The following is a 12207-nucleotide window of genomic DNA, read 5'->3' as shown; positions in this document are numbered from 1 at the left end:
CAACATGGTGAAACATTGTCTCTATCAAAAATATAAAAAACTAGTGGGGTGTGGCAGCGCGCTCCTGTAATCCCAGCTACTCAGGAGGCTGAAGCAGGAGAATTGCTTGAACCCAGGAGGCAGATGGTTGCAGTGAGCCAAGATTGTGCCACTGCACTCCAGCCAGGGTGACAGGGTGAGGCTCCATGTCAAAAAAAGAACTCTACCTTCTCTGCCCCTATTCCAACATATCAACCAAGGGAAGTTACTCCCCCTCTAATACTACAGCAAGCCTCAATCAGAGCCTAAAGGTGGAAAACAACCTTCCACCTGACCCCAAAATGCACACAGTGTAGCCACTCTGACCCAGGAATGAGATGAGAGCCAAATAATATGATCCTATGGGAACCCTTTTTTTCTGCTCTCCTGTCTTCTCTAATAGTCACTGAGCCCACTTCTGAACAGGGTGAACAAACAGCATCTGAAAATAAACACTGGGGACTCTGACAGATAAAGGATGGGAGGAATAAGGCAATATTCAGATCTGAAGATAGGTGAGCTCTAACGTTAGCCTCAGTATGCCTTATTTTCTAAGACCACCTTTTAGGATCATTTAAAAACATTTAAAAATCATTTAAAAAACAAAATTTTGGAAAAAGTTCCTGAAGTCTCATCACTAACCCAGGCTCTATTTTTTAGTTTTGACTTCTTATATTTGAATTTGGTCCATATGTGTTATTTTTATATGACAGCAGTCACTGAAGTAAAATTTGAATATATGCTGATTTTTTTGTTCAATTTTAAAAGAAATTCTAGGACCAGGCACAGTGGGCTCATTCTTGTAATCCCAGCACTTTGGGAAGCTGAGGCAGGAGGACTGCTTAGGGCCACATGTTTGAGACCACTTTAGGCAACAAAGACTCTGTCACTATGAAAAATAAATTAAAAAAATTAAGAGATTCTAATCTGCCACACATGGCATAGAACATGGAGCTGGAAAAAAAAAATACAGAGATATGTAAGAGAAGGTGGCAGCAGAGCACTGGGTAGAGACTGATGGCTGCCTCAGTCACTAACATACAACCTGAGCAAGCTACTTCATCTCTCTGTGCTTCAGTGTCTGTAAGAGGGGGACACTGGTACCTATTTTGCAGGGCTGTCTGAAGATACAGTGAGATAATGTACAGAAAGCCCTTTGTAAGAAGGCCAGCACGCAGTGACAGCTACATACTAACGCCAGCCCTGCAAATCTGTACACACTGCCTCTGCTCATTTTGTAGTGGGCGCCTGTACTTACTTCATGCCAAACTTCACCTTCTTGTTCTCCACCATCAGGTCACAGATGTATTTGACTGACAGGTATCGAAGCAGCTTGATGTCATAGCCTCTGACCTTATCAAAAAGATGCGTGTCACCACTTCTGAAATAAAGAGCCAGAGGGAGAAGTTACATGGCATGTTCACTCACAGGAGCTTGGGGGTGGGCACTCATTCAGGGAAGTATGGATGTCACTCTTCTCCAGAAGCTGGGGCGTGTGCTAGGTGGACGCATGGGTGCCAAACAGGACAACTGATTTCAGCGAGGTTGCAGGGAAGGTGACTTTCTAAGAGACTACCCCAATCTCTGGGATGTATTTCAAAGAAGAGAAATTTGCAGGTGGAAATGGAAAAGGACTTTCTGGCATTGCTTGACATTAAGCCAGAAGACTCAAAATAATCTCAGCGTTCTAAAATGCAGCAGGCTGGTGGCTGATAGAATCTTTCCGTTTCCATTAGAATTGATCCCCTTCCACCCCCTCCTTTTCCCCCATTTATGATCATTTTTAGCCACATGACTTGCTCATAATGTAGCAGTCTGAAATACTTGTACAGATAAAGTTTTTAGAGCTATTTTATCAACTGATTATGAAATACTAGCAAGTAAATTCCCTCTACCTAGCAGGCCGATGAAGCAAAGAGAAAGATAAAATTTTTCTATCTCACTGCTGCCTTTTGATCAGCCCTGCAGATACAGGCAGAAGTAGAAAGCATAAACAGTCGCCATTACTTTTTTATTTTTTAATCCACACTGCTTTGTTGTCCCCAGCAGTTTCCTTGCTAAGAACAGTGTATGCTGAAGATGGTGACCTGGCTGGGCAGAGGTCACCTGATCTAGGGAGAAGAGCCAAACATTCTTGAGCACAAGCCAGAGCCGCTGCTTTCAGAGCTAACAGGCAGAACCTGGGCATAGCAAGATGCCCTTTCATGAACTGAACTATGATTTGGGAAGCTGATCTTAACTAGGGTGCTTGTGTGCATTCCAGAGATGCTTGACACCAGTTAAAGACTTTCCATGTGGTACAGACCATGCAAAGGAGCTTTTCTAAAATATCCTGTAGTATTGTTTTCTAAAAACATTTGGAAAGCGGATAGCAAGAGTGTGAACCAGCCCATTTCCTCCTTTTATAGGGACTCAAACTCCTGTTCTGTACCAAGCTCTTCTTATGTGTAGTACCAATCATGCAGCTGTGACACATCTGGTCTCCAAATGTGCCTTCCAGGCTAGACCTCATGTCTCCTATGTATGGACTGTAGCCCTTGCCCTGTGCCTCAGTACCAGCTGTACTGGGTGAGATCTGGCAGGTTGGTAATCAGCATCATAGCTGCAAACTGGCAACTCTGTGGGGCTTTAAAACAAATATAGATGTCTGGGCCCTATCTCGGGCCTGCAGTACCAGGAACCCCAAGAGTGGGATGTTCTCTGTGAATCCAGGTGTGCAGTCAAGATGGGGACAGACTGCTCAGGTATTTGGCTGCTACCCAGTGGACTTCAACAGCCATATTTCAGGGGCACAGACTTGGCAGACAGAAGAGGAAGAAGCCAATCCACTCACCTGAACCAGTGACAAATACCCACGGACAATATGAACATGGCCATCTCTGGCCAGACACCCCATCCCCAACACAAGCCCCTGACCACAGCAACCCAGCACTGACCGAAGAGCACAGTCCTCCTCCGTGACGTCCTCCACATCTGCCCAGGCATCATCTGCACCCCCTGCCAGAGAAACCTATCTGTCAGTACTGAGGCTGGTGACCCAGGGCTCCACACAGGGGCCTCCTCACCAGCCTCCTTCCCCATAGTGCCAAGGGTGGGCTGGGACTACATGGCTCTACTCCTAAGGACACAGTATGCCCCCATATGCCTGGTAGTCTTCACCTCTAAGGTGAACTCCTGTTTGTCTCCTGGTCCCTGATCAAAGGAAGGCCCCTGATCTCCACCCAGCTCACTCAGACCCCCTACCTATACTATTGTGGTCATGGGTGGCTATTCTTTTTTTTTTTTTTTTGAGACGGAGTCTCACTCTGTTGCCCAGGCTGGAGTGCAGTGGCGTGATCTCGGCTCACTGCAACCTCCATCTCCCGGGTTCAAGCGATTCTCCTGCCTCAGCCTCCTGAGTAGCTGGGACTACAGGTGTGCATCACCACACCCGGCAAATTTTTGGTATTTTTTAGTAGAGATGGGGTTTCACCGTGTTAGCCAGGATGGTCTCGAACTCCTGACCTCGGGATCCGCTCGCCTTGGCCTCCCAAAGTGTTGAGATTACAGGCGTGAGGCATGGCGCCCGGCCCGGGTAGCTATTCTCTATGACTGGGTTCTCATTCTACATCAGAGGATGCTGTTCAACATTCACCTGAGAAAAAATAGTTGTAGCCTGAGCGTCCATACAGCTCTCCCCATCCAGCCAGTGTGGCCGACCTGCAAATGTGCTGGGAGAGAAACATCATTTTCACGGTCAGATGGTTTTCTGAAGCATGCACAGTTGAAGGAACATGTGGGACTCCTCTGACTCTTCCAGGCCAGCATAACGGGCCCAGGAGCACTCCCCAAAGTTTTATCAGCATCAAGGCTGCCACAATCAGTCAGAAGATCCCTAGTACTTAATCCACAACCTCTACTGAGGGAGTCTCACTCCCAAACAAGAGGCGCCAGTGTTACCAACAGGATCGGATCAGATTGGGTGGTTGTTGCATGTGTACCACGTGCTGGACATGGTACTGAAAAACCCATCATCTTCTCACTGAATTTTACAACAAGCCCATGAGGGATATGTGGCAGGTGGCATGCATTGTTGCTGTTACACAGATGAAGAAAAGAAAAACAGGCTAAGGGAGGTTAAGTGATGTGTAAGGTCATATAATGAGGGGTGAGCTGGGATTTGATCCAAACCCACTGACCTCTATGTGCTTACTGTGATTTGGAACTGTTCAGTGTAGACAGGAACAACCTTTCTAGCGGGGGCAAGGGGTGAGTGAGAAATGTTTTAGAGGCTTCTTTTCCTCATCACTGAAGGGATCACTGTTAAGAGAATTCTAGAAACGGGCAACTGGCACAAACCTCAATATCTAATTGTAAGGTTACTTGTTTAAAATAAATAGTGTTTGCTGAAATCTAGTTGGGTGGGGGGAATGGGAGGAGATACCTGGTGATGGGAAGGCAAACCAGCCCAGAATTTAGCTAAAGGCTAGGAGAACATGACCCTGTTACACTACAATGGGAAATGGCGAAGTTGTGAGGTGACAGACAGGGAGTGAAGCTCACTGCTGAATGGGTAACACAATGTGCAAATGGAAAGTGGATCCCTGGAAGATTGCCAAGTACCATCTGAAGGCTTCTCCATCTCTACCTGTAAGATAATGGGAAGGAAAGTTTTGCTGCTACAGCAAAGAGTTGTGCGTGGGAACGACTAGGTCACTTTCTGGCTCTATCTGAGGTAGCAGCAGACAAGGGGTGGGGACGTGGGGACAGCAATAGAAAAGCTACCTGGATATAACCTGGGACAGAATGAGGGGCATTATTGGTGCTGGGGCAAGAGCTGGTTTGTGGAGAGGCTGTCCTGGAAGCCTACTGAGGAAGCCTACCAAGGGCTGGCATTCCTGCTGGCTTAAGTAGGATGTACTCCAGTGGGGGCCACTTAACTTTCTGTGGGTCTAAAAGCAATTTGAAAATCTGATAAAAAAGTATGAACTATCTCCTGAAAAAAAAAATATGTACACATCATAATCTACTTACATTTCCAGGGATTTCTGGACTCTCTCAAGTCCACTGATGAACCCATTCCCAGACCCCGTTAAAAGCCCTTGCTTTAAGAAGTCAGTCAAGCAGTGAGGAGTAAAGTGGATGCTTCCACAGGAAAGGGCTGAGGACCTCTAAGACTCCAAGACGTTGGCAGGGTGTGTGGCTGCCTGTTCCACTGGCATTTGTATCATATCCACTCTCCCCGCTTCATCTAAGCTGCTGGCAGCTGACCTCACTCTCCTTTGCATTATTTCTGTTAAATCTTTCAGAGCAGATAGCTGCCTTCTTTTTGGCTGTTGAGTTCTGAGACCCTTTTTCTGTTCCCAATTATTCTTCCACATCCCTTCTATTGACCTTGTCTTTTTAGTAATTGAGGCAGCCAGACCTAGGCCAGCAAAACCCGAGTCAGATGGAGAAAAACAAGTTGGCCAAGTCCCCAAGTGGGGAACCAGCCTCTTCAGGAAGGCCCCTGTGGGAGGGCTGACCCCTCTTGATAGACACCTGTTCCTTTGCCTCATGGTTCTGACTCATAACCCATCATCTCTGCCCTTTAAGCTGGCTCCTGACTGAAAACGCAAGATCTACCCTGAATGCTCTCCATTTACCTAGTTAGGAATGGCCTCTAATACGGTCCGTGGAAAAGCACTCTGTATAATTTTCTAATTTAGTAACCTCTGACCTCTGCTCCCCACCTCTTAAACAAAAAGAAAGATGAATTGTTCCAGTTTCAATGGTCTAAAAGCCAGACTCAAGTGTTTGGGGAGAAAATGGTATGAGAACTTACTGTTCAATGCTTGAACTGAGTTTTGAAAAATTATTTAATATACTTTACTTAACCCATCATATCCAAGACATTATGTCAACATGTAATCACTTTTAAAATGAATATTTTACATTTTTTCTATTAAATCTTCAAAATTTGATGTGTATTTTACACTTAAAGCATATCTTAAGTAGGATGTGAAACTTTGGGCATTGGCCAGGTGTGGTGGCTCACGCCTGTAATCCCAGCACTTTGGGAGGCCAGAGTGGGCAGATCACTTGAAGCCAGGAGTCTGACACCAGCTTGGCCAAAATGGTGAAACTCAGTCTCTACTAAAAAGACAAAATTAGCCAGGTGTGGAGGCACGTGCCTATAATCCCAGCTAGTTGGGAGGCTGAGGCACAAGAATCGCTAGAGCCTGGGAGGCAGAGGTTACAGTGAGCCAAGATGGCACCACTGCACTCCAGCTTGGGCAACGGAGAGAGACTGTCTCAAAAAAAAAAAAAAAAAAAACCAACAAACTTTGGGCATTTTAAGGGAAACGTGGACTCATTTCAAAGTTGTTTTTAACAACAACAAACTTTTACATTGCTTCAAGCCTTAAAAATTAAGTTGAAATGGGCCGGGCACGGTGGGTCACGCCTGTAATACCAGCACTTTGGGAGGCCGAGACGGGCGGATCACGAGGTCAGGAGATCGAGACCATCCTGGCTAACACCGTGAAATCCTGTCTACTAAAAAATACAAACAATTAGCCGGGCATGGTGGCAGGCACCTGTAGTCCCAGCTACTCGGGAGGCTGACGCAGGAGAATGGCATGAACCCGGGAGGCGGAGCTTGCAGTGAGCTGAGATCGCGCCACTGCACTCCAACCTGGGCGACAGCGAGACTCTGTCTCAAAAAAAAAAAAAAAAAATTAAAATGAAATGAAGTAAAATATAACCTTAGTTCCTCAGTTGCACCAACCATGCTGAACTGAGTTTTGAAGGAAGCAGAACGCAAGCATTTCTTTTTTCTTAAACATTAGATTCAGGGGTACCTGTGCAAGTTTGTTACATGGATATATTGTGTAAGCGGGGTTTAGACTTCTATTTAACTCATCACCCAAATGGTGAACATAGGACCCAACAGGTATTCTTCAACCCTTGCCTCCTCCTCCTCTTCCTCTCTCCCCTTTTTGAAGTCCCTGACGTCTATTGTTTCCACCTTTATGACCATGCGTACCCGCTATTTAGCTCCCACTTATGAATGAGAACATGCGGTATTTGATTTTCTGTTTCCGCTGGAAGAATTTAAGTTTTAAAAACTTTTGTGGGTACATGTATTTACTTATGGGGTACGTGAGACTTTTTTTTTTTTTTTTTTTTGAGACAGTCTCACACTGTCGCCCAGGCTGGAGTGCAATGGCACGATCTCGGCTCACTGCAACTTCTGCCTCCTGGGTTCAAGCAATTCTCCTGCCTCAGCCTCCGGAGTAGCTGGGATTATAGGCGCCTGCCACCTTGCCTGGCTAATTTTTGTATTTTTATTAGAGACGGGGTTTCACTATGTTGGCTAGGCTGGTCTCGAACTCCTGACCTCACGATCTGCCTGCCTTGGCCTCCCAAAGTGCTGGGATTACAGGCATGAGCCATCGTGCCCGGCCGATATTTTGATACAGGCATACCACGCATAACAATCACATCAGGGTAAATGCGGTATCCATCACCTCAAGCATTTATCCTCTATGTTACAAACAATCCAATTATACACTTATTTTTAAATGTACAATAAATTATTGTTGACTGCAGTCACCCTGTTGTACTATCAAATACTAGATCTTACTCATTCTAACTATATTTTTGCACCCATTAACCATCCCCACTCCTCCCCCTTGTTCCTGTCAGAACCCTTTCCTAGTCTCTGGTAACCATAACTCTACTCTCTATCTTCATGAGTTCAATTGTTTTAATTTTTTTAGCTTTCAAATAAGTGAGAACATGTGAAGTTTGTCTTTTTGTGCCTGGCTTATTTCACTTAACATAATGACCTCCAGTTCTATCCATGCTGATACAAATGACAGGATCTCATTATTTTTCATGGCTGAATGGTACTCCATTGCATACATGTACCATATTTTCTTTATCCATTCATCTGTTGATGGACATTTAGGTTGTGGAAGCAAGCATTTCTTAACACAGTGGAAGCAAGCATTTCTTAACACAACTCTCTCTCTTCCTCAACCTGGTAGAGGTTGGTGTCCCTAAAGTATTGTTGGTAATAATGCTGCCACCATCATACTAGTTCCTCAGTGCCTACCGTGAGCCACATGTCTGACCTAACACAGGCCTCTCTGCTACAGGACTTCTCAGAGCCTTAACTATATGAACATACATTTATCAATCTATTTGAAGAATCTAGTATGCAGTATTTCGAATTCTTATTTGACAGATAATGCTTTTCGCAAGCATGTCCTTAAACTGCTATTCTATGGAAACACTGGTTGGAGTATCTCCCGTGCAACCTCTAATGACAAGCGCTGTGCTGCACAGGGTGGTACTCTTTCAAATGAAGTTGCAGGCCAGGCGTGGTGGCTCACGCCTGTAGTCCCAGCACTTTGGGAGGCTGAGGCGGGCGGATTACCTGAGGTCAGCAGTTTGAGAGCAGCCTGGCCACCATGGCGAAACCCCGTCTCTACTAAAAATACAAAAATTAGCTGGGTGTGGTGACATGCTCCTGTAATCCCAGCTACTCGGGAGGCTGAGGCAGGAGAATTGCTTGAACCCGGGAGGTGGAGGTTGCAGTGAGCCAAGCTTGGGCCACTGCACTCCAGCCTGGCAACAGAAGAGACTCCAGGCCGTGCGCGGTGGCTCACGCCTGTAATCCCAACACTTTGGGAGGCCGAGGCAGGAGGATCACAAGGTCAGGAGATCGAGACAATCCTGGCTAACACGGTGAAGCCCCGTCTCTACTGAAAATGCAAAAAATTAGCCGGGCGTGGTGGCGGGTGCCTGTAGTCCCAGCTACTCGGGAGGCTAAGGCAGGAGAATGGCGTGAACCCGGGAGGCGGAGCTTGCAGTGAGCTGAGATCGCACCACTGCACTCCAGCCTGGGCAGCAGAGCAAGATGTCTGCTGCCTCAAAAAAAAAAAAAAAAAAAAAAAAAAGAGAGAGACTCCATCTCAAAAAAAAAAAAGTTGCAATAACTTTCGGGAACATGAAAACTTTCCAAAGTGGCAACAGCTTTAAGAAGATCAATTTCTAGGACCTAACTTCCATACATACTTTTCCCTAAAACTGATCTGAAGAAGAAAGCTTTTGGCAGAGTCTCCCTTCCTTCCTCCTCTTTCCCAATTTACAAAAAAGGCACACCAGGGACTGAGACAACAGTCAGACTCTCCCCATTGCCCTGCCCTTGACCACTGAGACACTCAGATACCAGCTAAAGGAATGAATAGACTGAATTCCGCTCCCTTCCCCTCTGAGGCTCTCTGTATGTCAGTCCACTCTTCTTGGACCAATTTTCGCACCGTTGCTACTTGCATTCGGAATTTCCCCGCTCAAACGTCACAATGGCTCTCCTAGCAAACACAGAGCCACCTCCCTGCTCAGCGTTCAGCCGTCTTCATTCAATCCCCTCCATCCTCTGCCCTGATGTGTACCCTCTACTTAGGGAAGTTACTTAGTCACTCTCAGCCTCTGTTTCATCTGCAATGAAATGGGCACATCCCGTACACCAAAAGATAGATAAAAATGAAACCAAACTGGGGAGCCAAATTAAATTAACAAAAGTCCTTAGAATATAAGCTCCATGACAATAAAGATTTTTGTCTGCTTTACATGGTGATGTATTTTAAGGCCTGAAGCAGTGTCTGGCACATAATATACAATAAATACTTGGTGAATTATATAATTGAAAGAATGGAAAAACAATATAGGAACTCATTTGATTTAATCTAATCCACAAACCTTTGAAATAGGTGATTATTATTCTTAATTTATAGGAGAGGAAAAGGAGGCTCTGCATAGGCAGGAAATAAGAGTCAGGATCTGAACCTAGGCAGTCTGGCTCTGGAACACGGGGTGGGGTATGCTGGTGTGACCATCCCTTCTCTACCTAGAACCATCCTTCAGTCAGAATTGGTCTGTTTCTCTGGACTGCTTCCCACAACACCCAGTAACCACCCAATGCTTGGCTACTAATGTTGAGGGAAAAAAAGACCCTATACTTTGCAGTAAGTCAGCTACCCCAGAAGAGAGTCGTGGAGCATGAAGCTATGGTATGGGCCTTACCTTGCCCTTGAACAGGATTACTGGGCAGACAAACCGTCCTCTGCACCGGGCCATCTTGCTGCGGTGGATGAGGTCTTGCAACTTGCTCACCTGTACGGTACTCTCAAACCTAACACACAGGCAAGAGAAGCAGGTCAAGCTGACTTTGAAGTGGGCACTTTGTGTATATGTGTTTATTCACACAGACCCCCATACTAGATCTGTGTACATAATGCTTGCTTGAAATTAAATGTCATTCCTAAATTTTATATCATCTATCATCTGTCTGTCTATCTATCTATTTTTTTGAGACGGAGTTTCACTGTTGTTGCCCAGGCTAGAGTGCAGTGGCGCAATCTTGGCTCACCACAGCCTCTGCCTCCCGGGTTCAAGCAATTCTCCTGTCTCAGCCTCCCGAGTATGCTGTGACTACAGGTGTGAGCCACCACACCTGGGTAATTTTTTTATTTTTGGTAGAGACGGGGTTTCACCACGTTGGCCAGGCTGGCCTCAAACTCCTGACCTCAGGCGATCCGCCCACCTCGGCCTCCCAAAGTGCCGGGATCACAGGCATGAGATATATTAAGTTTTTCAGGAAAAAAAAAAAGTGCTAATTATAGGTATTAAAACTTAAATCACTCTGATTTCTGAACCTTTAAGATAAAAAAAAAGTGAGCTAAACTGAAGACATATACAAAATTCAGAAATATACACAGAAAACTGGATATTATGTCTAGGGTGTCCAATTTTTAACTCCCAGGATAAGACCTGGTGCCCTAGGGACCCTCTCTGGAAATCACAGGACCATTTTTGTGACTATCTATTTTTTGCATAACTCTGAATATGTATTTTTGTGATCTTTTAGAGCAAGCAGTCCCCAGGCCCTGAGCCCCAGATCAGTACGAGTCCATGCCCCATTAGGAACCAGGAGGTGAGCAGCAGGCAAGTGAGCATTACCGTCTGACTTCCACCTCCTGTCAGATCATCAGTGGCGGCATTATATTCTCATAGGAGCTCGAACCCTATTGTGAACTCCGCATGTGAGGGACTGGGGTTGCAGAGAATCTAATGCCTCATGATCTGAGGTGGAACAGTTTCATCTGAAACCATTTTCTCCACCCTGCCGTGGAAAAATTGTTTTCCATGAAACCAGTCCCTGGTGCCAAAAAGGTTGGGGAGTGCTGTTTTAGAGGGCAGAATGAGATGACGTTTCTTGGTCCACATGGCTCTAGGCCTCTGCTTTCACAGTCCATATGGCCAACAGCGCACAGAGCAAAGGAGGCATAAGAGAAGCCATGTGTGACACAGGGACGTGTAGTAGTTAATGCACTGGGCTTGGTAAGTGAGCTTCTAGAACTTGAGAGTGAGGTTTAGAAGTTAGCTCCAGCAAGTCATACCCATATCAAATCACGCTTCCCTAAAATAAGGGTCCGCTCTCATAAACTCACCTACCAACCTTTAGCAAAGCTCACCCCAGCCAGTCAGAGCTTCTGGTAGCAACAGAAACAGGAGGCAGGAAAGTTAGAGCAGGAAGCTTTCCCAGCTACACAGAGTAACCAAGTAGAAGGAAGGAAAAATACTCATGTTCCTTCCTTAAAAGTGTTGAGCTTTCAGACCAACTCCTAGAGGGAATTTAATTGCTTCCACATCCTAATCCTTCTAGGAATCTGCGTACAGCTCCTCTTGTACACATGCACCCAAATATTATCCCAGAAGGAAGAAATCAGTGACTCCCACATACTTGTGGTACCTCTTTAAATGTATCTGGATGCTGTTAGGGTTAATAAAAACACAGTCTTTAAAATACTGCGAATTCTTAGTTAAAATATATCTAGGGGCCAGGCGTGGTGGCTCACACCTGTAATCCTAGCACTTTGGGAGGCCAAGGTGGGCAGATCACTTGAGGTTGGGAGTTCAAAACCAGCCTGGCCAACATGGTGAAACCCCATCTCTACTAAAAATACAAAAAAATTAGCCTGGCGTGGTGGCGCGTGCCTGTAATCCCAGCTACTCAGGAGGCTGAGGCAGGAGAACTGCTTGAACCCGGGAGGCAGAGTTTGCAGTGAGCCAACATCACGCCATTGCACTCCAGCCTGGGCGAAGGGCGAGACTCCGTCTGGGGGAAAAAAAAAAAAGCAAAGTGCCCGTAGGGTGGCA

The 12207-nt window shown here is 45.8% G+C and overlaps 1 protein-coding gene across 51 annotated transcripts in view; it reads right to left on the bottom strand.

The window, feature by feature from the left end:
• MTMR14 (myotubularin related protein 14) overlaps positions 1 to 12207 on the bottom strand; it is a 52889-nt gene that overhangs the window by 29947 nt on the left and 10735 nt on the right. For 25 of the 51 annotated variants that reach the window (NR_174504.1, NR_174503.1, NR_174507.1 and 22 more), the window contains 4 exons: positions 10072 to 10180; positions 3653 to 3728; positions 2955 to 3015; positions 1277 to 1399 (listed from right to left, as the gene is read on the bottom strand). Coding sequence is in view for 35 of the 51 variants with exons in the window: in NM_001400518.1 (NP_001387447.1) it covers positions 1277 to 1399; positions 2955 to 3015; positions 3653 to 3728; positions 10072 to 10180 (369 nt within the window). In the remaining 16 variants the exon portion in view is untranslated. The remainder of the gene's footprint in view (positions 1 to 1276; positions 1400 to 2954; positions 3016 to 3652; positions 3729 to 10071; positions 10181 to 12207) is intronic. The other 26 variants (NR_174511.1, NM_001400542.1, NM_001400534.1 and 23 more) reach the window with 7 other exon arrangements.

The sequence above is a fragment of the Homo sapiens genome, chromosome 3, assembly GCF_000001405.40.
Source record: "Homo sapiens chromosome 3, GRCh38.p14 Primary Assembly".
NCBI classification, from domain to species: Eukaryota; Metazoa; Chordata; class Mammalia; order Primates; family Hominidae; genus Homo; species Homo sapiens.
The sequence above is the reverse complement of the archived record's forward strand: the minus strand, read 5'-3'. Positions and strand labels throughout refer to the sequence as shown.